At 49.6% G+C, this 23092-nt stretch overlaps 2 protein-coding genes across 7 annotated transcripts, besides 2 other annotated features; both read right to left on the bottom strand.

Moving 5' to 3' along the window:
• Positions 1 to 282: 282 nt before the first annotated feature.
• Positions 283 to 2000, bottom strand: CSH2 (chorionic somatomammotropin hormone 2). Of its 3 annotated transcripts, NM_020991.4 has the most exons (5): positions 1876 to 1948; positions 1450 to 1610; positions 1106 to 1225; positions 848 to 1012; positions 287 to 594 (listed from the first exon to the last, which is right to left on the bottom strand). In NM_020991.4, exons 1-5 carry the CDS (start codon positions 1883 to 1885, stop codon positions 397 to 399), a joined length of 654 nt encoding a protein of 217 aa, NP_066271.1. In that variant the 5' UTR covers positions 1886 to 1948; the 3' UTR covers positions 287 to 396. The 3 variants fall into 3 exon arrangements, with proteins under 3 accessions (NP_072170.1, NP_072171.1, NP_066271.1); NM_022644.3 differs by having other exon boundaries at positions 283 to 1012; positions 1876 to 2000; NM_022645.2 differs by lacking the exons at positions 848 to 1012; positions 1106 to 1225 and having other exon boundaries at positions 283 to 594; positions 1876 to 2000.
• A 6485-nt stretch (positions 2001 to 8485) lies between these two features.
• Positions 8486 to 10215, bottom strand: GH2 (growth hormone 2). 4 transcript variants are annotated; one of them, NM_022556.4, is made up of 5 exons: positions 10063 to 10215; positions 9630 to 9790; positions 9300 to 9374; positions 9043 to 9207; positions 8486 to 8789 (listed from the first exon to the last, which is right to left on the bottom strand). In NM_022556.4, exons 1-5 carry the CDS (start codon positions 10070 to 10072, stop codon positions 8592 to 8594), a joined length of 609 nt encoding a protein of 202 aa, NP_072050.1. In that variant the 5' UTR covers positions 10073 to 10215; the 3' UTR covers positions 8486 to 8591. The 4 variants fall into 4 exon arrangements, with proteins under 4 accessions (NP_072050.1, NP_072052.1, NP_002050.1 ...); NM_022558.4 differs by having other exon boundaries at positions 9047 to 9207; positions 9300 to 9419; NM_002059.5 differs by having other exon boundaries at positions 9300 to 9419.
• Positions 9611 to 10571: an enhancer, noted in NCBI's record as "H3K4me1 hESC enhancer chr17:61958700-61959660 (GRCh37/hg19 assembly coordinates)". NCBI's record gives its function as "activates a minimal SCP1, AML or CMV promoter by ChIP-STARR-seq in primed H9 embryonic stem cells {active_cell/tissue: H9 hESC(primed)}" and the evidence as "EXISTENCE:reporter gene assay evidence [ECO:0000049][PMID:30033119]".
• Positions 10731 to 10780: a silencer, noted in NCBI's record as "silent region_8834". NCBI's record gives its function as "represses an Ori minimal core promoter by ATAC-STARR-seq in GM12878 lymphoblastoid cells {active_cell/tissue: GM12878}" and the evidence as "EXISTENCE:reporter gene assay evidence [ECO:0000049][PMID:35858748]".

Here is a 23092-nt window from a genome sequence, read left to right on the forward strand (position 1 = left end):
CTGGTGATGGTGGGGGAGGAAGAAATGCCTTCAAGTCATCTCTGGGATGACCAATGAGCTGTGACCAGCAAGCTGGGACCACTGAGCTGGTGGAATGGCCTTAGTGAGTAATAGCGGTGATGTGTCAGCCTTTTTCTGGCCCAGGAACAGCCAAGCCTCTTATATTTCAGCGGCCTAGTTCCCAATAGACCTTGAAGGCCCTCCAGGTCTTCTTTCCACCTACCCCTTGCTCCATACCACCACCTTCCACCCCATAATATTATAGAATGACACCTAGTCAGATGAAATGATACAACTTAATTTTATTAGGACAAGGCTGATGGGCACTGGAGTGGCACCTTCCAGGGCCAGGAGAGGCACTGGGGAGGGGTCGGTCACAGGATGCCACGCGGGCACCTAGAAGCCACAGCTACCCTCTACAGAGCGGCACTGCACCATGCGCAGGAATGTCTCGACCTTGTCCATGTCCTTCCTGAAGCAGTAGAGCAGCCCGTAGTTCTTGAGCAGTGCGTCATGGTTGTGTGAGTTTGTGTCAAACTTGCTGTAGGTCTGCTTGAGGATCTGCCCAGTCCGGCGGCTGCCGTCTTCCAGCCTCTGCAAAGTGAAGGAAGAGAAGGAGAGGCCAAGCGCTTGGGCACTGTTCCCTCCCTCTCTCATTCATCCATTTTCCTCCCTCCCCTTCAGGGTGTAGAGAAGGGCCTGGAGGATTCACCAGGCGAAATGAAGAATAAGGTGAGTTCTCTTGGGTCAGCGCCTGACTGCTACAAAGAGGGCAGCAGTGTTTCTCTCCCCCAGCCCTCTAAGCCAGTGGGGTTCCAGGATTGGCGACCCCTGGCGCCACCCTCACCCCCATCAGCGTTTGGATGCCTTCCTCTAGGTCCTTTAGGAGGTGATAGTCATCGCTGTCCGAGGTGTCATACACCAGGTTGTTGGCGAACATACTCCTGAGGAACCGCACGGGCTCCAGCCACGACTCGATGAGCAGCAGGGAGATGCGGAGCAGCTCTAGATTCTGCAGGGGAAGGACCGGCAGTGGCTGTGCTGCCCGGGAGCCCTGACCACAGGTCTCCCCCATCCCCGCCTAGGGGAGACGGCATCCACTCACGGATTTCTGTTGCGTTTCCTCCATGTTGGAGGGTGTCGGAATAGAGTCTGAGAAGCAGAAGGAGGTCTGGGAGTCATGCAGGAATGAATACTTCTGGTCCTTTGGGATATAGGTTTCTTCCTAGGAGAAGGACCCCCCACCAAGAAGGACTGCTGGTTTCTATGCTGGAGACCAGCTCCCATTGTTGCTTTTCTGGGAACCTGGCTCAGCCTATGCTCATCTGCCTGCATTTTCGCTTCAGAAAACAACCCTGAGCTCCTTAGTCTCCTCCCATTACTTCCCCAGTGGGGGAAAGTCACCCCTTCTTGCCACCCCTGACCCGCACCCATTCCCCAAGAACTTACAAACTCCTGGTAGGTGTCAATGGCCAGCTGGTGCGCGCGATGGGCTTGGAGCATAGCGTGGTCAAAAAGCCTGGATAACGGAACGGTTTGGACGGCACCAGCCTCTTGAAGCCAGGGCAGGCAGAGCAGGGCAAAAGCCAGGAGCAGGGACGTCCGGGAGCCTGGGGAGAAACCGGAGGGCAATGGAGGGAGCCGGAGAGGAAGAGGCCAGCGCTCTCCCTGCTCCAGGAGCTGTTTGTTTTTTTCTCTCTCTCCATCCCTCCAGAGACCAGGAACATTCAGAGATTGGCCAAATATCTGGCCTTAGATGGCGATACTCACATTCATAAGCCCCAAACCTGAGGGTTAGTGCCCCCGTCCCATCTACAGGGCGCTGCCTCTCCCCTCAGGACACGTTGTGCCCAAAGGGATTTTAGGGGCGCTTACCTGCAGCCATTGCCGCTAGGTGAGCTGTCCACAGGACCCTGAGTGGTTCGGGGAGTTGGGCCTTGGGATCCTAGAGCCGGTCTCTTGTGGGCCCTTTTTATACCCTGGCCAGTTCTCTCTCCCTGCTTGACCCCACCTGTTTCTGTGTACATTTATGCATGGGGCCACTGACGGGCTTGTGCTAATGGATAATTTGGAAGCTCCTCCCACACATGCTGGGATCATGCCCCCTGGCTTGTCGTCTTTCCCTTCTCACCATCACCAGTGTTGTAAGGATTGTGCACAGAGTGTCAGCCACAGACTCCACCCAACTTGTCCTCTCTTTAAGGGTCAGGTGGGTGCCCTCTGGCCGCAGGCCATGTTGGTCAACCTGAATGCGGGGAAGGCTGTCAGGATAGCCAGTCCTTGAGACCCCTACCGACCCCATTCCACTCTCTATCCTATTCCTTTCCTCCTCCCCGCGTGTTTAACTTCCACCCACCAGACAGAATGTGTGTGTTGGGAAAAGGGGCCAAGCACAGCCAATAGATTGTGGGGGTTCTGAGCACCATTGAGTCCTGAATTCCACTTTTGCTGATGACTCCTGGGCCCACCTGAGTCAGCTGGATGCAGTGCTAACACTGACCACTAGAGAGAACCAACCCCACACATTGCTCTCCCCTTTCCCTGAACCTTGGGGCGGAGGCGGTGGGGCTCCCCCAGGTCACTGGGGACGAAGAACCCAGACTCAAGGTATTGCCTCAGCTCCTTGGACCTGCAGCAGAGACACAAACCAAGAAACAGAAATCCCGGGAACAGACACGGACCACAAGCGCTTCCTCCCACAGCCCTGAAACCATCAGAGAATCTCAAGGTTGGAAGAGCTCTTGAAGATTTGAGTCTCAGGGGAACATCACACTCTGGGGACTGTTGTGGGGTGGGGGGAGGGGGGAGGGATAGCTTTAGGAGATATACCTAATGCTAAATGACAAGTTAATGGGTGCAGCACACCAGCATGGCACAGGTATACACATGTAACTAACCTGCACATTGTGCACATGTACCCTAAAACTTAAAGTAAAAGAATAATAATAATTAAAAAAAAAGAAAAAAAAGATTTGAGTCTCTTCCCAGCTTTGGAACTCAGAACACATCACGCCGAAAGATGCCCTATCCAGCCATGGAAGCCCGTCCTCTTTTGTCTCTTCCTCCTTTCCAGACCTGTGTAGAGCTTATCCAGTTGTCAAAGGCCTGCCTGTGCATTCTCACGTCTGATCTGCCACTTGTCTTGTGTAGGAGGTATGAGTATCATCCCATTTCACAGATCAGGAGACTGAGGCTCAGAGAGACTGATTACATGAGCTACCTCAGCCAGGGCAGCAGATCTCCACAACCTTGCTCTTCCCACATTGCATCATTTAAAGTCCTTTCTCCAGGCCGGGCACGGTGGCTCATGCCTGTAATCCCAGCACTTTGGAAGACTGAGGTGGGTGGATCACTTGAGGTCAGTTCAAGGCCAGACTAGCCAACATGGCAAAACTCCATCTCTTAAAAGTACAAAAGTAGCTGTGTGTGGTGGCAGAAGCCTGCAATCCCAGTTACTCCGGAGGGTGAGGAGGTAGAATCGCTTGAACCCAGGACGCAGAGGTTGCCGTGAGCCAAGATTGGGCCATGGCACTCCAGCCTGGGCGCCAGAGTGAGACTCCATTTCAACAACCACAACAACGACGACAACAACAACAACAACAACAAAAGTCCTTTCTCCAGAGCAGGTGGTGTGGTGCTACTCAGTTATTTAGTTATTTTAGTTTCTTTTCTTTCCTTCTTTCTTTTTCTTTCTTTCTTTCTTTCTTTTCTTTCTTGCTTTCCTTTTTCTTTCTCTTTCTTTCTTTCTTTTTCTTTCTTTCTTTCTTTCCTTCCTTCCTTTCTTCCTTCCTTCCTTCTTTCCTTCCTTCCTTCTTTCTTTCTTTTTCTTTCTTTCTTTCTTTCTTTCTTTCTTTCTTTCTTTCTTTCTTTCTTTCTTTCTTTCCTTCCTTCCTTTCTTCCTTCCTTCCTTCTTTCCTTCCTTCCTTCTTTCTTTCTTTCTTGTTTTTGATGGAGTCTCATTCTGTCTCCCAGGCTGGAGTGCAGTGGCATGATCTTGCCTCACTGCAACCTCCACCTCCTGGGTTCCAGTGATTCTCCCGCCTCAGCCTCCCAAGTAGCTGGGATTACAGGTGCCCACCACTATGCCGGGCTAAGTTTTGTACTTTTTTAGTAGAGACGGGGTTTCACTATGTTGGCCAGGCTGGTCTCGAACTCTTGACTTTAGGTGATCCACCCTCCCTGGCCTCCCAAAGTACTGAGATTAATGGCGTGAGTCACCGCCCCCAACCCAGTTATTTCAGCTTCTAAATCTCTCTGAGTGCAGGGATCCTGTCCCCAACACAAGGGGCCCTTTGCCTGATTTTGTCTTTCCATAAGGGGCAGATTGTTCTTTCTCAATTCCCAGGTGAGAATGGCCCAGTGGCATGGGGTGCCTTGTGGAAACCTCGTAGCAGGACAAGGTGAAGGCAGAGAAGGCCAGGACTGAGCCTCCTGTCTCCTGGTGCCCAGGGTTGGGGCTATTTCCATACCACCTGGAGGTCACAAGCATCAGATGCCCCCAGAGATGAGAGCAGGAAAGAACACCCTCTGTAGTGGTGAAATCTTCTCCCACCCTGAGTTTAAGAGCATGTAGCACTTGATGCTGTAGAAACACAAGCAAGCAAACAGGCAAATGCTTCTAGAAGTGGTTGGCTGTGGTGTTGGCAACCAACATTGAAAACCCACACCCCTGTGGCCTAGGATGTGAATGCTGGGGCCCTGCCATCTCCCCACTTTCAGAGCGGAAGACAGAGCTCCTTTTTTTGCCATCATTCCTGAAGCATTACCGGACCAGCACCCCAGACTCATCACCTGCTGGGAGGGCACTGTGCTGTGGGCTGTTCTCCAGGGAAGCCTGTGTGAGGATCCAAGAGGGGTGTCATCAATGATACCAGCTCTGAGAAATATGGGGTCAAGGGAGGGTGGTGTCACCACTTTCCCCTGCTCCTCCCAGCACCAGCAAAGAGGAGGAGCCAGGTGGGAATGGAAGTGGGTCCCTGAGCTCCAAGTAGAAGAGGGTCCCTGCCTCCCTCACCATCCTTCTTCCAATGTCAGCTGGGACAGGGAGCCCCCATGACAGGACCTTTTAGCCAGTTCTGGGGACTTAGATGTGGATTTTTGGCCATTCGTAAGGGAAGCCTCCCTTAGGAATGAGGGGGGCAGGGGCTCTAGCTGGGGACTACTGCATAACTCCACAGGTGGGCACAGGGGTGCCGAGGTTACTGCCAGGAACATGTGGGACCAGCCAGGGAAGGGGAGTGTCTCCTCTCACCTCTCCACTTCTGTTGACCCCAGAGTTATAGTGACTCAGAGGACGTTAGGGACCCCTGGGGAAACACCTTTATAAGGGGTTACCATGGCAACCATGGACCAGAGGGAAGAACTGAGGCCCACAGGTGTGGGTAGAAGTTGGTGATCCTTTTCTCTAGTCTAGATCTTCCCTTGAGCAATGGAGACCATGTCTATCATTCATTGCTAGTAAAAAATCAACTTTGAATTAGACTTGGGATTCTCCTGACAGTACTGGGAAGTTGCCCACTGTTGGGGCATCACTTGAGGCCAGATCCCTCGCTGCTGCAGGCTGAAAGACTACCCAACAAGAGCCTCCACATGGCCAGTGGGGAGAGGCTGGGCTTTGTACCTCTAGCATCAGCCTCAAAAGGCTCTGGATAGGTCGGGTGCGTTGGCTCACACCTGTAATCCCACCACTTTGGGAGGCCAAGGTGGGTGGATCATTAGGTCAGGAGTTTAAGACCAACCTGGTCAAGATGGTGAAATCCCGTCTCTACTAAAAATACAAAAATTAGCTGCGCGTGGTGGCAGGCGCATGTAATCCGAGCTACTCAGGTGGCTGTGGCAGGGAATTGCTTGAACCCGGGAGGTGGAGGTTGTAGCGAGCCGAGATCATGCCACTGCACTCCAGCCTGGGTGACAGAGTAAGACTCTGTATCAAGAGAAAAAAAAAAGCTGATGATAATCTCACAATCATCTTGCTTCTTTTAAGGAACCTCCCTTTATAATTTAGGATCCATGAATTTATCTGTGTGTTTGGAAGCCCTTCCTATGTCCAACCTCGACTAACTCTAGGGTTCTGTGTGCCTGCTGTGGAAAGTCACAGATCTGCTGTTGATCCTAAAGTGGTGTCTTTCAGGCTTCAAGATCTCCTGTTAGGTTCAAGACTGTGGGGTTGAGGACGATCACATTTTTCGAAGCCATTCTCACCGGTCTCAGGAATCGCCTCCGAGGGACTGGTGGGTGCTCCTTCCACTCTCACTTTGGTGATTTGAGGCGCACACTTCTCACCTGCAGCTCTGTTCTTTCTTCCTTGAGATCAGAGGCTGGTTATTGTACTGGGACATACTCTACCTCCTTTTGGCTTCTAATGTCCTTTCTATGAGTTTGCTACTGAGTCAATTACTCGGCTCATTGGATTGAGGTCTTCAGAGAATATTATATGGGGATTCCCAAGGGCTCTCCTAGGGGAGGTGAGGAAGATGATCAATACTTCTGTGTGTCCACCATGTGCTTGGCACTCTACTGACCATAGGGATGTGAGTGAGGATACTGAGGCCCAAAGAGATAAGATGGTTTGCCTGGAGCTCTCCCAGTTCCTAAGTAATGGCTTCCAAGGCCCCTGGGCTTTCCTTCCATGCCAAGCTCTTTAGAAACCTCATCTAGTAAAGATGGTGGCACTAATAGGCATGGACAGAACTTGCCTCAGTGCAAAGCTAGCAGGACAGGGGTCAAGTCCCTGCACAGAGGATGTTCAATGAAGATGGGGGGAATTGAACACAAGGAACTTCAGCCACAGAATGAGGTGTCCATAGGCATTAAGAAAAGTGGTAGAAAAGAGGCACCCAACGTAGCTCGGGTTAGTGAACCGAGGCACTTCATGCTGCATATTTGTATTGCACATTTCAGTGTACATCGTGTTTCGCTTCCTGTATGTCGTTGGACCCTTCAGTTTGCCACATGATATGTCCAGGGGGTTCAGGCACGGAGGAAGGGCCTCGGAAGGTCTGGGGAGGCAAGGGGCAGGCACCGCTGTGTATTGATGGGGGGATTGTTTGCACTGGTTGATGATCTCTGAACAACCAAGAAGTACACAAGGATCTACCTAACCTGACGTGCTAAGTAATTTCACTTTGGGGATTATTCTCCAGGGAGACAATCCATTGATAGAGAAGTGAAAAGCATCGAGATGTGTCTAGTAGTTGTAGGAAGTCTGGGGTGCTTTCCTGATGGGGTGCCCTCAGCTGGAAATAGCCTCTCCTTCCTTTGACCTGTCCTGTGGCTATTTGCAGACATTTTTATTCCCCTTACCAGACTGTAAGCTCTTTGAGGCTGGATTTCTTTCTTTCTTTTTTTTTGAGACCGAGTCTTGCTCTGTCACCCAGGCTGGAGTGCAGTGGCGCGATCTCGGCTCACTGCAAGCTCTGCCCCCTGGGGTTCATGACATTCTCCTGCCTCAGCCTCCCGAGTAGCTGGGAGTACAGGCACCCGCCACCTTGCCCAGCTAATTTTTTTGTATTTTTAGAGGTGGGGTTTCACTGTGTTAGCCAGGATGGTCTCGAACTCCTGACCTCGTGATCCACCTGCCTCGACCTCCCAAAGTGCTGGGATTACAGGCGTGAGCCACCGCGCCCTGCCTGAGGCTGGAATTCTGCCTTTCGTCTATTCATTCATTCACTCATTCTTCTATTCGTGCATTCACCAATTCCACAAGTAGTTGTTGCCTATAACATGTGCCAGAGATTGTACCAGGCAGATGGGCATATCTAGATAAACAAAAGACATGATCCTTTCTCTTCTGGAGCTAACAATCTACTGGGGGCCGAGAAAACAGCAAAAAAGTAAATATATAACGGTAAAATAGAAATTTCGAATTGGAAACATTCCCATGAAGTAAAAAGCTAAGATACGGAGGGAGAGAATAAGCCAGAAGGTGATGGGATGAGGCAGCTGACACAGCCCCAGGCCCAGGAATTCAACAAGCATCTACTGAGTGGACCCAATGCATGAGAGGACAGTGCCAAGCAAACAACTCAAATGTCCAACTGGCTGGGCATGGCCAGGTAGCCCATGCTGTGTCTGGACGTCCTTCTGCTGGTATAATTATTTTAAAATCACAGGACAGGGAAGGGCCCAGTGGCTCATACCTGTAATCCCAGCAATTTGGGAGGCCGAGGCGGGCGGATTACCTGAGGTCAGGAGATGGAGACCAGACTGGCCAATATGGTGAAACCCCGTCTCTACCAAAAATACAAAAATTAGCTGAGCCTGGTCGTGCATGCCTGGAATCCCAACTATTCGGGAGACTGAGGCAGGAGAATCGCTTGAACCCAGGAGGCGGAGATTGCAGCGAGCCAAGATCGTGCCACTGCACTCCAGCCTGGTTCCCAATAGACCCTGAAGGCCCTACAGGTTGTCTTCCCAACCTGCCCCTTGCTCCATACCACCCGCCTCCACCCCATAATATTATACAAGGACACCTAGTCAAACAAAATGATGCAACTTAATTTTATTAGGACAAGGCTGGTGGGCACTGGAGTAGCACCTTCCACGACCAGGAGAGGCACTGGGGAGGGGTCACAGGGATGCCACCCGGGCAGCTAGAAGCCACAGCTGCCCTCCACAGAGCGGCACTGCACGATGCGCAGGAATGTCTCGACCTTGTCCATGTCCTTCCTGAAGCAGTAGAGCAGCCCGTAGTTCTTGAGCAGTGCGTCATCGTTGTGCGATTTTGTGTCAAACTTGCTGTAGGACTGATTGAAGATCTGCCCAGTCCGGGGGCTGCCATCTTCCAGCCTCTGCAAAGTGAAGGAAGAGAAGGAGAGGCCAAGCGCTTGGGCACTGTTCCCTCCCTCTCTCATTCATCCATTTTCCTCCCTCCCCTCCAGGTTGTAGAGAAAGGCCTGGAGGATTCACGAGGGGAAATGAAGAATACGGTGAGTTCTCTTGGGTCAGCGCCTGACTGCTAAAAAGAGGGCAGCAGTGTTTCTCTCCCCAGTCCCTGGAAGCCAGTGGGGCCCCAGGATTGGGGATCCCTGGTGCCACCCTCACCCACATCAGCGTTTGGATGCCTTCCTCTAGGTCCTTCAGGTGGCGATAGACGTTGCTGTCCGAGGCGCCATACACCAGGCTGTTGGCGAAGACGCTCCTGAGGAGCTGCACGGGCTCCAGCCATGACTGGATGAGCAGCAGGGAGATGCGGAGCAGCTCTAGGTTCTGCAGGGGAAGGACCGGCAGTGGCTGTGCTGCCCGGGGGCTCTGACCACAGGTCTACCCCATCCCCACCTGGGGAGAAGGCATCCACTCACAGATTTCTGCTGCGTTTTCACCCTGTTGGAAGGTGTTGGAATAGACTCTGAGAAGCAGAGGGAGGTCTGGGGGTTCTGCAGGAATGAATACTTCTGCTCCTTCAGGATATAGGCTTCTTCCTAGGAGAAGGACCGCCCACCAAGGTCTATGCTGGAGACCAGCTCCCATTGTTACTTTTCTGGGAACCTCACTCAGCGTATGCTCATCTGCCTGCATTTTCACTTCAGAAAACAACCCTGAGCTCCTTAGTCTCCTCCCATTACTTCCCAGCGGGGGAAAGTCACCCCTTCCTGCCACCTCTGAAGCGCACCCATTACCCAAGAGCTTACAAACTCCTGATAGGTGTCATATGCCAGCTGGTACAGGCGACGGGCGCGGAGCATAGCGTTGTCAAAAAGCCTGGATAAGGGAATGGTTGGGAAGGCACTGCCCTCTTGAAGCCAGGACAGGCAGAGCAGGCCAAAAGCCAGGAGCAGGGACGTCCGGGAGCCTGGGGAGAAACCGGAGGGCAACAGAGGGAGCTGGAGAGCAAGAGGCCAGCGCTCTCCCTGTTCCAGGAGCTGGGTTTTTTTTTTTCTCTCTCTCTCTCTGCCTCCCTCCAGGGACCAGGAACATTCAGAGATTGGCCAAATACTGGGCTTAGATGGCGATACTAACATTCATAAGCCCCAAACCTGAGGGTTAGTGCCCCCGTCCCATCTACAGGACGCCGCCTCTCCCCTCAGGACACATTGTGCCCAAAGGGATTTTAGGGGCGCTTACCTGCAGCCATTGCCGCTAGGTGAGCTGTCCACAGGACCCTGAGTGGTTCGGGGAGTTGGGCCTTGGGATCCTTGAGCTGGTCTCTTGTGGGCCCTTTTTATACCTGGCCCCTTCTCTCTCGCTGCTTCTCCTCACCTGTTTCTCTGCATGTTTAGGCCTGGGGCCACTGACGGGCTTGTGCTAATGGATAATTTAGAAGCTCCTCCCACACATGCTGGGATCATGCCCCCTGACTTGTCATCTTTCCCTTCCCACCATCACCAGCGTTGTGAGGGTTGTGCACAGAATGTCAGCAGAGATACCACCCAACTTGTCCTCTCTTTAAGGGTCACGTGGGTGCCCTCTGGCAGCAGGCCATGGTGGCCAACCTGAACGCGGAGAAGGATGTCAGGATAGCCAGTCCTTGAGACCCCTACCGACCCCATCCCACTCTCTATCCTATTCCTTTCCTCCTCCCCGCATGTTTCCCCTCCACCCACCAGACAGAATGTGTGTGTTGGGAAAAGGGGCCAAAGCACAGCCAATAGATTGCGGGGGTTCTGGGCATGATTCAGTGCTGAATTCCACTTTTGCTGACTCCTGGGCTCGCCTGAGACAGGCCCGCCTGGATGCAGTGCTAATACTGACCACTAGAGGGAACAAACTCCACACTTTGCTCTCCCCTTTACCTGAGCCTTGGGGCGGGGGCGGGGGCGGGGCGTGGGGATGGGGGTGGGGGTGGGGGTGGGTGTGGGTGTGGGAGGGGTGGGGGGGGGGCTCCCCCAGGTCCCTGGGGACGAATAACCCAGACTCAAGGTATTGCCCCAGCTCCTTGGACCTGTAGCAGAGATACAAACCAAGAAACAGAAATCCCGGGAACAGACACGGACCACAAGCGCTTCCTCCCATAGTCCTGAAACCAACAGAGAATCTCAAAGTTGGAAGAGCTCTTGAAGATTTGAGTCTCTTCCCCAGCTTTAAAACTCAGAACACATCACGCCAAAAGACGCCCTATCCAGCCATGGAAGCCCCTCCTCTTTTGTCTCCTCCTCCTTTCCAGACCTGTGTAGAGCTTATCCAGTTGCCAAGGGCCTGCCTGTGCATTCTCACGTCTGAACTGCCACTTGTCTTGTGTAGGAGCTATGACTATCATCCCATTTCACAGATCAGGAGACTGAGGCTCAGAGAGACTGATTACATGAGCTACCTCAGCCAGGGCAGCAGATCTTCACAACCTTGCTCTTCCCACATTGCGTCATTTAAAGTCCTTTCTCCAGGCCGGGCACGGTGGCTCATGCCTATAATCCCAGCACTTTGGGAGGCTGAGGTGGGTGGATCACTTAAGGTCAGGAGTGCAAGACCAGGCTAACCCACATGGCAAAACTCCATCTCTCCTAAAAATACAAAAATTAGCTGGGCATGGTGGCACGAGCCCGTAATCCCAGCTACTTGGGAGGCTGAGGCAGGAGAATCGCTTGAACCCAGGAGGCAGAGGTTGCTGTGAGCCAAGATTGCGCCACTGCACTCCAGCCTGGATGACAGAGCGAGTCTACATCTCAAAAAAAAAAAAAAAAAAAATCCTTTCTCCATAGCACGTAGTGTGGTGCTACTCAGTTATTTAGTTATTTTAGCTTCATTTCCTTTTTTTTTTTTTTTGAGATGGAGTCTCATTCTGTCACCCAGGCTGGAGTTCAGTGGCATGATGTTGCTTCACAGCAACCTCCACCTTTGGGTTCCGGTGATTCTCCCGCCTCAGCCTCCCAAGTAGCTGGGATTACAGGCGTCCACCACTATGCCGGGCTAAGATTTGCACTTTTTTAGTAGAGACGGGGGTTTCACTATGTTGGCCAGGCTGGTCTCGAACTCTTGACTTTAGGTGATCCACCCTCCCTGGCCTCCCAAAGTACTGAGATTACTTGCGTGAGCCACTGCTCCCAACCCAGTTATTTCAGCTTCTATATCCCTCTGAGTGCAGGGATCCTGCCCCCAACACAAGGGGCCCTTTGCCTCATTTTGTCTTTCCATAAGGGGCAGATTGTTCTTTCTCAATTCTCAGGTGAGAATGGCCCAGTGGCATGGGGTGCCTTGTGGAAACCTCAGAGCAGGACAAGGTGAAGGCAGAGAAGGCCAGGACTGAGCCTCCTGTCTCCTGGTGCCCAGGGTTGGGGCTACTTCAATATAATCTGGAGGTCACAAGCATCAGATACCCCCAGAGATGAGAGCAGGAAAGAGCACCCTCTCTAGTGGTGAAATCTTCCCCCCTGAGTTTAAGAGCATCTAGCACTTGACTCTGTAGAAACACAAGCAAGCAAACAAGCAAATGCTTCCAGAAGTGGTTGGCTGTGGTGTTGGCAACCAACATTGAAAACCCACACCCCTGTGGCCTAGGATGTGAATGCTGGGGCCCTGCCATCTCCCCACTTTCAGAGCAGAAAACAGAGCTCCATTTTCTGCCATCATTCCTGAAACATTATCGGACCAGCACCCCAGACTCATCACCTGCTGGGAGGGCACTGTGCTGTGGGCTGTTCTCCAGGCCCGCCTGTGTGAGGATCCAAGAGGGGTGTCATCAATGATACCAGCTCTGAGAAATATGTGGCCAAGGGAGGGTGGAGTCACCACTTTCCCCTGCTCCTTCCAGCACCAGCAAAGAGGAGGAGCTAGGTGGGAATGGAAGAGGGTCCCTGAGCTCCATGTAGCTTTCTGCCTCCCCCACCATCCTTCCTCCAATGTCAGCTGGGACAGGGAGCCCCCATGACAGGTCCTTTTAGCCAGTTCTGGGGACTTCGATGTGGATTTTCGGCCATGGAAGAAGTCTCCAGCCTCCCTTAGGAATGAGGGTGGCAGGGGCCCTAGTTGGGGACCACTGCATAACTCCGCAGGTGGGCACAGGGGTGGCAAGGCTCCCCAGGCAGGTTACTGACAGCAACACGTGGGACCAGCCGGGGCAGGGGAGTGTCTCCTCTCACCTCTCCACTTCTGTTGACCCCAGAATTATGGTGACTCAGAGGACTCTAGGGACCCCTGGGGAAACACCTTTATAAGGGATTACCATGGTAACCATGGACCAGAGGGAAGAACTGAGGCCCACAGGTGTGGGTAGAAGTCAATGATCATTTTCTCTAGTCTAGATCTTCCCAGAGCCTTGAGCAATGGAGACCACATCCATCATTCATTGCTAGTAAAAAATCATCTTTGAATTAGACTTGGGATTCCCCTGACAGTACTGGGAGGTCGCCCACTGTTGGGGCATCACTTGAGGCCAGATCCCTGGCTCCTGCAGGCTGAGAGAGTACCCAACAAGAGCCTCCACATGGCCAATGGGGAGAGGCTGCGCTTTGCACCTCTGGCGTCAGCTTCAAAAGGCTCAGGATAGGCCGGCGTGGTGGCTCATGCCTGTAATCCCAACACTTTGGGAGGCTGAGACATGTGGATCACCTGAAGTCAGGAGTTTGAGACCAGCGTGGCCAACATGGTGAAACTGATCTCTACTAAAAATAGAAAAATTAGCCGGGTGTGGTGGCATGCGCTTGTAATCCTAGTTACTGGAGCGGCTGAGGCACAAGAATTGCTTGAACCTGGGAGGCAGAGGTTGTCATGAGCCGAGATCGCGCCACTGCACTCCACCCTGGGCGAAGGAGTGAGACTGACTTTGTCTCCAAAACAAACAAACAACCAAAAAAAACCAAAAAGAAAAGTAGAAAAATCCTCATCTCTGAGTTCACTGTTACCTAGCTCCTTACCCACCGAGAAACAAACATGGGAAGCAGGGGCCCCAGGGCCACCATGGACAGAGCAGGGTTATCATTTAGTCCAAATCCATAAGAACACCCTAGGTTTCATCTGGGACTCCCTGCCCATACGGAAAGTGGGAAAGAAGAGTTGGCTCAAAGCAGGGAGCTGCTAGTGCTCCCTTGGGAAGGAAAGCTGTTGGGTGGAGGGGACAGCATTTGGGTGAGGGGAGGAGAGGGAGCAGGGGGTGAAGTAGGGAGGGAGTGTGGTGCACTGAACTCAGCTCCTTGGGATACTGTTTCTGCAGACCAACCACGGTTAGAGGAATCCAGTTGCTCTGCCAAACAGACCTGGCTGGAAGGGATGGAACACACGCTCACCTGCGTCCCAAAGGGAAACCCAGCTCCAGCCTTGGTGTGTACCTGGAATGGGGTGGTCTTTGACCTTGAAGTGCCACAGAAGGCAACCCAGAACCACACTGGAACCTACCGCTGCACAGCCACTAACCAGCTGGGCTCTGTCAGCAAAGACATTGCTGTCATTGTTCAAGGTAACCTTTGCTGCCCTGCTGCCAGGCCCAGGATGGAAACCCCTCAGGGGTTTGGGATTCTTATCTAAGCATGAAAATAAGAAAGATTCTACTAGGTTGGGAAGAATGAGACTCAGAAGTGGGCCTGGTGGGCTGGGGTGGGTGATCCTTGTACTCTCAGACTTTCCTAACTCTATCTTCTGTGCTTGGGCAGGACTGGATGAAGGAATAAGCTCTACCCTCTTTGTCATTATTACCGTTGCCCTTGGAGTGGGTGTCATCACCATAGCACTGTATTTGAGCTATCGGCCCTGCAAAGTGGACAGGAGGAAATTGCTCTATAGGCAGAAAGAGGAGGACAAAGAGGAGGAAAGCCAGTTTGCTGTTCAGGAAGAGAAAAGTACAACTCATATAATTGACAACTGTTTGATTGAATGAGACTTCTGCTACTGTGGTTTCCCAGGGAGGGAAGAAGGGATAGAGGAGAAAGGAAGAAACACAATGGCAGGCTGCATTCCCCTTTGTGTACGTCTGTCCTGTAAAACGGTGTTTCAGGCCCCCATGCCCCATGTCCTGTGTGTCCAATATGTCCACAAGCTCACCATTCTCTCTCTCTCTCTCTTTTCTTTTCTTTTTCTTTTTCTTTTTTTTTTTTTTTGAGATGGAGTCTTGCTGTTGTCGCCTAGGCTGGAGTGCAATGATGCGATCCTGGCTCACTGCAACTGCAGCCTCCCGGGTTCAGGTGATTCTCTTGCCTCAGCCTCCCTGGCAGCTGGGATTACAGGTGCACACCACCATGCCTGTCTAATTTTTGTACTTTTCGTAGAGATGGGGTTTCACCATGTTGGCTGGGCTGGTCTCAAACTCCTGACCTCAAGTGATCCGGCCACCTTGGCCTCCCAAAGTGCTGGGATTACAGGTGTGAGCCACCGCGCCCAGCCACCTTTCTCTTTAGAGCTCACTCTATTCATTAGGAATCTCAGTCTCAATGTTTGATTTGTAAGAAGGCCTCTTGCTCCTTGCCAGGTGCATCATCAGTCCACTCTTAGATCCAAAAAAAAAAAAAGAAAAGATCTTGCCGTTTCTTCATGGTTCTCACTGCCCTTTTCTCTTAAACATCATACTAAAGTCAGGCATATCTTAGAAATACAACTCATATTTCATGGTTTTCTGATTACTAACTGGGAACTAAATCTGTAGTCCAAGGACAGGACTTTGAAGGGAGTAAGTATCAAATATGGGGCCAGGAATCAGAGCTCTGTTCCTATCTCCACTTTCCCTTGCTCCCCTGACCTGGGCTTCTGGAGGGCCAGCTCCCAGAGCTGAGCTTGTTGACATCATTAAGGATCAGTGGCAAGCTTCAACTCAGTAACCATCTGTTGCGGGTCTTGGGGGAGTATACAGATGGTAAGAAATTCCACTTTGGGCCAGACGGGCATCCTATCTAGCTCAGTATTCTGTCTCTGAAGGAGAAGGTAGAGTTCTTCCATGAAATTGGCCTCATAGGTTAAGAGCTCCAAACATCTCTGAATTCCTTTTCATAGAGTGATCAACTGTGAGTTCGCATTTGCCAGTTTTCTTTTTTTTACCCATATGGGCATCTAGGTTAAAGTTCCAATCTTTACTCTCCCTTTTCATCAATAAGTGCATATTTTCTTCTGTCTGTAAACAATTTCCTTGAAGCTTCAAGAGGAATCTTCTTGTGAAAATGTTCATATGATTTTATGTTTCAGCTTCTTTCCCTGTCCTTGAGAAAGAGTATATTCACCCTCGGAGAAGGCGTGAGGAATCACAGAACCAGATGTTTTCTCCCAAATCAGTCAAGAAATGTTCACTGGAATGTTGCTATGGTAAAAATAAAAGTGGTTTTATGATGTCCAAATGCAGTTCCCTTCCCTTCTGTGTCATTGCTAAAAGCTCTTATGTCAAATGGCTGCATTTTATAACTTTTTTTTTTAGATGGAGTCTCGCTCTTTGCCTAGGCTGGAGTGCAGTGGTGTGATTTCGGTCCACTTCAAACTCCACCCCCGGGTTGAAGCAATTCTCTGCCTCAGCCTCTATAGATTAAGAGTAGCTGGGATTACAGGCGCCCACCACCATGACCAGCTAATTTTTTGTATTTTTAGTAGAGACAGGGTTTCACCACCTTGGCCAGGCTGATCTTGAAGTCCCGACCTCGTGATCTACCCACCTCGGCCTTCTAAAGTGCTGGGATTACAGGCCTGAGCCATCACTCCCGGCTGCATTTTATAACTTTAAGTACAATTTCTAAGGAAAAAATACCGTGTTGATAGCATAAACAACCAGCCCAGGGCCGGGGGTGCATTAACTGAGGGCAGCAGCCTATTTGACCTGCTTTCAAAACTGAAATTCAGGCTGGTGTGGTGGCTCACGCCTGTAATCCCAGCACTTTGGGAGGCTGAGGCAGGTGAATCACTTGAGCCCTGGAGTTTGCGAATAGCCTGGGCAACATGGCAAAACCCCATTTCTACAAAAAACACAAAACTTAGCCAGGTATAGTGGCACATGCATGTAGTCCCAGCTACTTGAGAGTCTGAGGTGGGAGGATCACTTGAGCACGGGAGGTGGAGGGTTGCAGCGAGTTGAGATCATGCACTGCACTCCAGCCTGGGCAACGGAGCCAGGCCCTGTCTCAAAAGCAAAATAAAGGAACAAAAATGAAAGCTAAAGGTCAGACTTCCAGATAGAGAGAGGTCCATAGCCTTCCAAATTGCAGATACCAGCTAGAAAAAACCATGGCATCAGACAGCAGAGGGAAAACGTTTTCCCATTCTTCCCAGACCTCCCCTGAGTCTGGTGCTATAGATTAAGTGTAAAAGTAACCCTTTGGTTTCACCACATACAAGGCAGTGGGGATACAGTGGTGAACAAAACATTGTTCCTGGCTTCCAAAAATATATTAGGAAAGCTAGACAAACAAGTAGGAGATTACATTTGTGCATGAACTCCTATGACTGGGAAAACAGATTGTTAAGAGAAAGCATAACTCGGATCAAGGAAGGCTTCCCGGAGGGACACGAAATATCTTGACTTTGTAAAATAGCATCATCCCCGAACATGAACTTTTCAACCTCAATGTTTCCACTAGGTGGAGCTACTGCTCCTTCATCATGTGAGTCTAATATAAATCATCCACCTTCCCTGAATTGAGCATTTGGGGAAGTAAGTTAAGAAGCAGGTTTAAGAGACAGGAGTATACAGCCACACCATGCAGGGATCCACAGCCATTTTGGTGTCAGGATCAGTCGCATCAGGGCTGTAGTTACCCTGTATCTGCAAACCCTGCCTCATGGCCTCAGTGCCTTGAAGCACAGCGAATCCAAAAAGGAAGGGAAAAATGAGCCAGGCATGGTGGTGTGCACCTGTAATCCCAGCTACTGGGGAGGCTGAGGCAGAAGAATCGCTTGAACCCGGGATACTGAGGTTGCAGTGAGCCAAGATTGCACCATTGCACTCCAGCCTGGGCAACAGAGTGACACCCCATCTTGAAGAAAACAAAAACAAAAGCAAACAAACAAAAAACAAAACAAACAAAACAAAAAAAAGAGGGAAGAAGGGGGCCACTTGGACTTTCTAGTTCCAGCAGGGAGATCCTGGAGGCTTAGCCGGCTGCTGCCTTTGCTTCTCACTGCCACAGGGTGTCAGTGTTGACAGATGGTCCCACACAGTACCCTCAAACCAAGCGGGTCTGCAGATCCGGGTTCCCAGCTGCTGTGGATCTCTGAGGGAGGATGATCTGCTTCTTCGGGGCCTGGTCCAGCTGCGGGTGTCCTCTTGCTGGGGTTTCCAGGGTTCCAGTTCTTAGAGCTCAGTAGTTTGGATGAGCCGTCCCGCAAAGCTCTTCAGAGTAGGCTGGGCTGTTTCCCTTGTAGACTTGGAACCTCTGTTCGCTTTCCTTCCCGAAGGATCCACACAACCAGTGGTCAGGCAGGCAGCCCCTTCTCATTGATTCTTTTTTTTCTTTTCTTTTTTTTTTTTTTTGGAGACAGAGTCTCGCTCTGTCTCCCAGGCTGGAGTGCAGTGGCACAATCTCGGCTCACTGCAACTTCTGCTTCCCAGCTTCAAGCAATTTTCCTGCCTCAGCCTCTGGAGTAGCTGGGATTCCAGATGTGCGCCACCACACCCGGCTAATTTTTGTGTTATTAGTAGAAACAGGATTTCATCATGTTGGCTAGGCTGGTCTCAAACTCCTGACCTCAGGTGATCTGCCCAGCTTGGCCTCTCAAAATGCTGGGAGTACAGGCGTGAGCCACCACACCCGGCTTCATTGATTCTTAAAGTAGGAAGGGTCTCATATCTCTTTTCCAGTATAATAGAGCTTCTAAGGGTAGCTGCCTCATTGTCTATAAGAGGAGGCCCCACCCTCTAAATGGTTTTGATCATATTCTTTCTGAACATTAAAGCAACCAGCTTATGCTTAAATTGCAGCTACCTTGATTATCTCCAGAGGAAGAGTGGCCTTTAATACTCCAAAAGTTTACCCTCTTTCTTACTATTTTTGAGAGAGAATCTTGCTCAGCCATCCAGCTGGAGGGCAGTGGCATGATGGGCTCAGTGCAACTCTGCCTCCTGGGCTCAAGTGATTCTCGCGCCTCAGTAGCTGGGAATACAGGTGTGCACCATCACACCTGGTAATTTTTGTATTTTTAGTAAGAGACGGGGTGCCACCATGTTGGCCAGGCTTGTCTCGAACTTGTGACGTCCTCCCGCCTCAGCCCTCCAAAGTGCTGAGATAACTGGCGTGAGCCACCGTGCCTGGCCGTTTATCCTCTCAAGGATGGTCAGGGTGACATTCTGGTGTCTTTCTCTCTAGACCTGAGAAAGCATAAGTTACATCGTTAGTGGGACTTCTTACCATAGGATTAATAATAGTATTTACCTTAGAGAATTATAATTAGAAAGAAATGACACAATACATGTAATAAACTAGCATGGTGCTGGAGATATGTGTTCACATTAGTTGTTTTTTATTATTACACTGATAATTCTAGTGGTAATTAAGCACATCTTTATAATCACAGTAAACTCAAAGCAAGAATCAGAAATCCATGATAACCATGAGGGCCATCAAAGGTCATATACACCGAGCACAGCTTTCCGGTTTTTCTAGTCTTTTTCTTGCTCCTTCCCCTACTTTCCCCACAGTTTGGTACCCTAAGATTTAGGACTACTAATAGGGTGACCAGTCCTGTTAGCTGAGTGTTCATTCAGCTGAGGGATCCCTGGAAGGAACGTGGGACTTTCAGTGTTGACATTGAGAAAGTCTCCTGCAAACTAGGACGAGTTGGTAACCCTAATCCCAGCGGTGCTCATTGTGTGCCACAGCACTTCAGGGCCTTCTGAATTAAAGAAGCAGCCAGGCAAAATGTCAGCTTGTCTTGGCCTAGAAGCCCAGACCCTGTAATTCAGAAGAAAAGGGAAGGGGTCAGTTCTGCTCTCAACTGTGTATAAAGGGACAAAACCCACCATGTGTATTTCGACAATGCTCATGGAAGAAATTCAGAATTGGTCACTTTAGGTTAGGGTAAATTCAAAAAAAATGACAGAGTCAGTAAAACATTATGCCAGGGGTCAAGGATGACTGGAGCTCTGCCTGCTGAACTCTTCCCTGTGCGAGTCTCACTAATCTTATCTTCAGGAAGAGTTTTCGATAGAAAATACCATTAAGGGCCAGGCCTGGTGGCTCCTGCCTATGATCCTATCACTTTGGGAGGCCAAGGTGGGTGGATCACCTGAGGCCAGGAGTTTGAGACCAGCCTGGCCAACATGGCGAAACCCTGTCTTTACCAAAAATACAAAAATCTGCCCTGTGTGGTGGTGCACACTTATAATCCCAGCTACTCAGGAGGCTGAGGCATGAGAATCACTTGAACCTGGGAGGAGGCGGAGGTTGCAGTGAGCCAAGATCCCACCACTGCACTCCAGCCTCTGTCTCAAAAACAAAAACAAAAACAAAACAAAAAGAAACTATTAACAATTTTTAGTTGTGAGAAGATATAAACGTTTCCATCTTAACCATTTTGCCTGTGCAGTTCAGTCATGTCAAGTACATTGACATCGTCATGCAACCCTCACCACCAACCATCTCCAGAACCCTTTTCATCTTGCACAGCTGAAACCCTGTGCTCATTAAATAGCTCCCTATTCCATCCCTCCCCACAGCCACTGGCAGCCACCATCCTACTTTTTGTCTCTATGAATTTGACTGCTCTGAGTACCTCATCTGACTGGAATCGGAGAGTATTTGTCTTTTTGTGACTGGCTCACGATAAACACTTTTAGATGACTGGTTGGAATTAGGAGCAGGTGGCACCACAACTGCCATCTCCTTTTTCTCCTTTTTCTCATCTCCTTTTTCTCTGTTTTCCCTGTTCCACCAGTACAACAGCTGTGAACACATGGGTCTCATCTTTGCGGTCCCTAACACGGTGGTTCTCAACCTTGTTTACATGTTAGAATCACCTGGGAAAGTTTTCAAATTACTCTTGCCTGGACCACATTCCAGTCTAATTATATCAGAATCTCAGGGAGTGAGGGCTCACGAATGCATCGTTTAGAAAACACCCTAGGCATCTCAAATTTGCAGCGGAAATTGCTGTCCACACCAAGTTGATGAGCTGAAATGTAGACTAACAGTGGGTAAATCAAAGAGTTTAAAGTAGATGGTCTTTAAGGTCTTTTTATATTTTAAAATGTGCAAAGTTGGTAGTATCTTTCTAATTCTCAACCAGCAGTGGTTGAGTGGAGTTTCCTATACCCGAGGGGAGCTGGGTGGACAGTCTCTGGAGTGTGGCTCCCCCTGCAGTTCAGTTACATGTTATGACCACCCCACTTTAGAACCCTCTTAGCCACCCAAGTAGGCGCTGGACATTGTCATTCCACTGTCACGTGCATTCAACAAATACTTATTAAGATGGCTCACATTTCCTTTTAAAACACGCAAGCCGAGAGATAATTATAATTGTGCTCATTCCATCAACTTCTAAAGACTGAGATTTCTAAATAATTTTAAGGCCAAATGAAGGACATTGCAGGAATATTGATTCCAGCTTCGTGCAAGAAATAGTTTTTTGCAATGAGAGTGGTTTAATAGAATGAGGAGCCTTGTGAAAGTGATTCCCTTGGTTCTAGTGCTACACACTCGTAAATGGAATACTGACTGTAATGGATGTTGTAGGATAAGATTCCCAAAGTAGAAGAAACTAGGCTGACTTATGAGGCCCTTCTAACTCCAAAATGCCATAATTTTAAAGCCCGATAGTAGAAGAACAATGCAAGATGCAGGAATGGCTTCTGAGCTGAGAAATGCAGCAGCTCCAGAATTCTGTTTAGTTCAACTTTCAACCACTTCCCAAGGACTGAGTTATTAATGGTAAAATAGCCAAAAATGAATACAAGTGGGTCTCATTATCAAGAAAATTCATTATAGCATTTAAGAATCGAACTTCTAAAGAAGATTAATTGGGGGGTTGATTATTTGCATTGCAAAACAATTCCTGACTTTATGAAATCATTTTTGGATACTAGAGTTCCTGTGAGCATCTTAGCATCGATTTATAGGTCACCAGTCACTTAGCCAAGGTGCTTGGGAGAGCAAACTCTTAACTAACCACCGCTCTTTAGTGCTTATTTGGAAATAATAAACATCTGAGATGTTTATTATTTCCTAATTGTCATTAGGAAAACAATATAATTTCACTACAGGTATTTAGACACTCCATCAGAAAACACAAAACATCCAAAAATTCAATGCAGAAATAGCTAGAATTTCTTGAGTACTATAATATATCAAAAATACCATTGCATTTAGTCCTCACATAATCCTTGTAAAGCAATATATTATTATCTCAGCTTGGTCAAGTAATTTATTCGGGGGCACTAAATTACATACAGCCCAAATCTTTCTGATTCTTTCCCTTACACCAAGTTACCCCAATCAACATCTCTTAGAACAAAATTGCTCACAGACAGCTTGGAGACCATGTGTGTTTCGGTTAATTTTTGCCCTTAAAAGATTTTCAATATGTGTTGCCAGTGTTTAAATGTTAGAATTCCTGTAAAAGTCTGGATGTCCTGGCTGTCTCAAAAGGTCAGAAGGTCTGGAAGCCGTGTCCCTGCAGTCCTGATGGTGACAGGCTGGGTGGGTCCCACCTCAGCAGGGGCCTGAGTTCTGCAGATTGTGCTGGTTCCCACCCCTCTGTGTTGCATCCCCCGAAGGGAAGTGAGTGTCATCTGGGATTTATCCCCTCCCATCCAGCCCTCATTGCTTACATTGTTATCTACCTGGAACCTGTTGGCACTGCATTTACAACCCCAAATAAAATCTCTCTTCCACTTCCCTTGCCCTAATTCAGATTCCAAATGCTCTGGTTCTGTATGTCTCAAACTCATTTTTGCATTGTTCTCATTTCCCGAGAGTAGTTGGGCTTAAGGAATACTCATCTTAAAATTCTTCCGAACACAAGTAATTCTATGCCATTGTTTCCTCACCTGTTGGGGAGTTTTTGCCTCTGCACTTAATAGCCCATCTTGTTTTCATTTCTTTCCGCTCCTGGGGGGCTAGGTTTGGTGTTGCTGGTGATGGTGGGGGAGGAAGAAATGCCTTCAAGTCATCTCTGAGATGACCAATGGGCTGTGACCAGCAAGCTGGGACCACTGAGCTGGTGGAATGGCCTTAGTGAGTAATAGACAGCAGTGATGTGTCAGCTTTTTTCTGGCCCAGGAACAGCCAAACCTCTTATATTTCAGTGGCCTAGTTCCCAATAGACC

The sequence above is a fragment of the Homo sapiens genome, chromosome 17 (genome assembly GCF_000001405.40).
Source record: "Homo sapiens chromosome 17, GRCh38.p14 Primary Assembly".
Classification (NCBI taxonomy): Eukaryota; Metazoa; Chordata; class Mammalia; order Primates; family Hominidae; genus Homo; species Homo sapiens.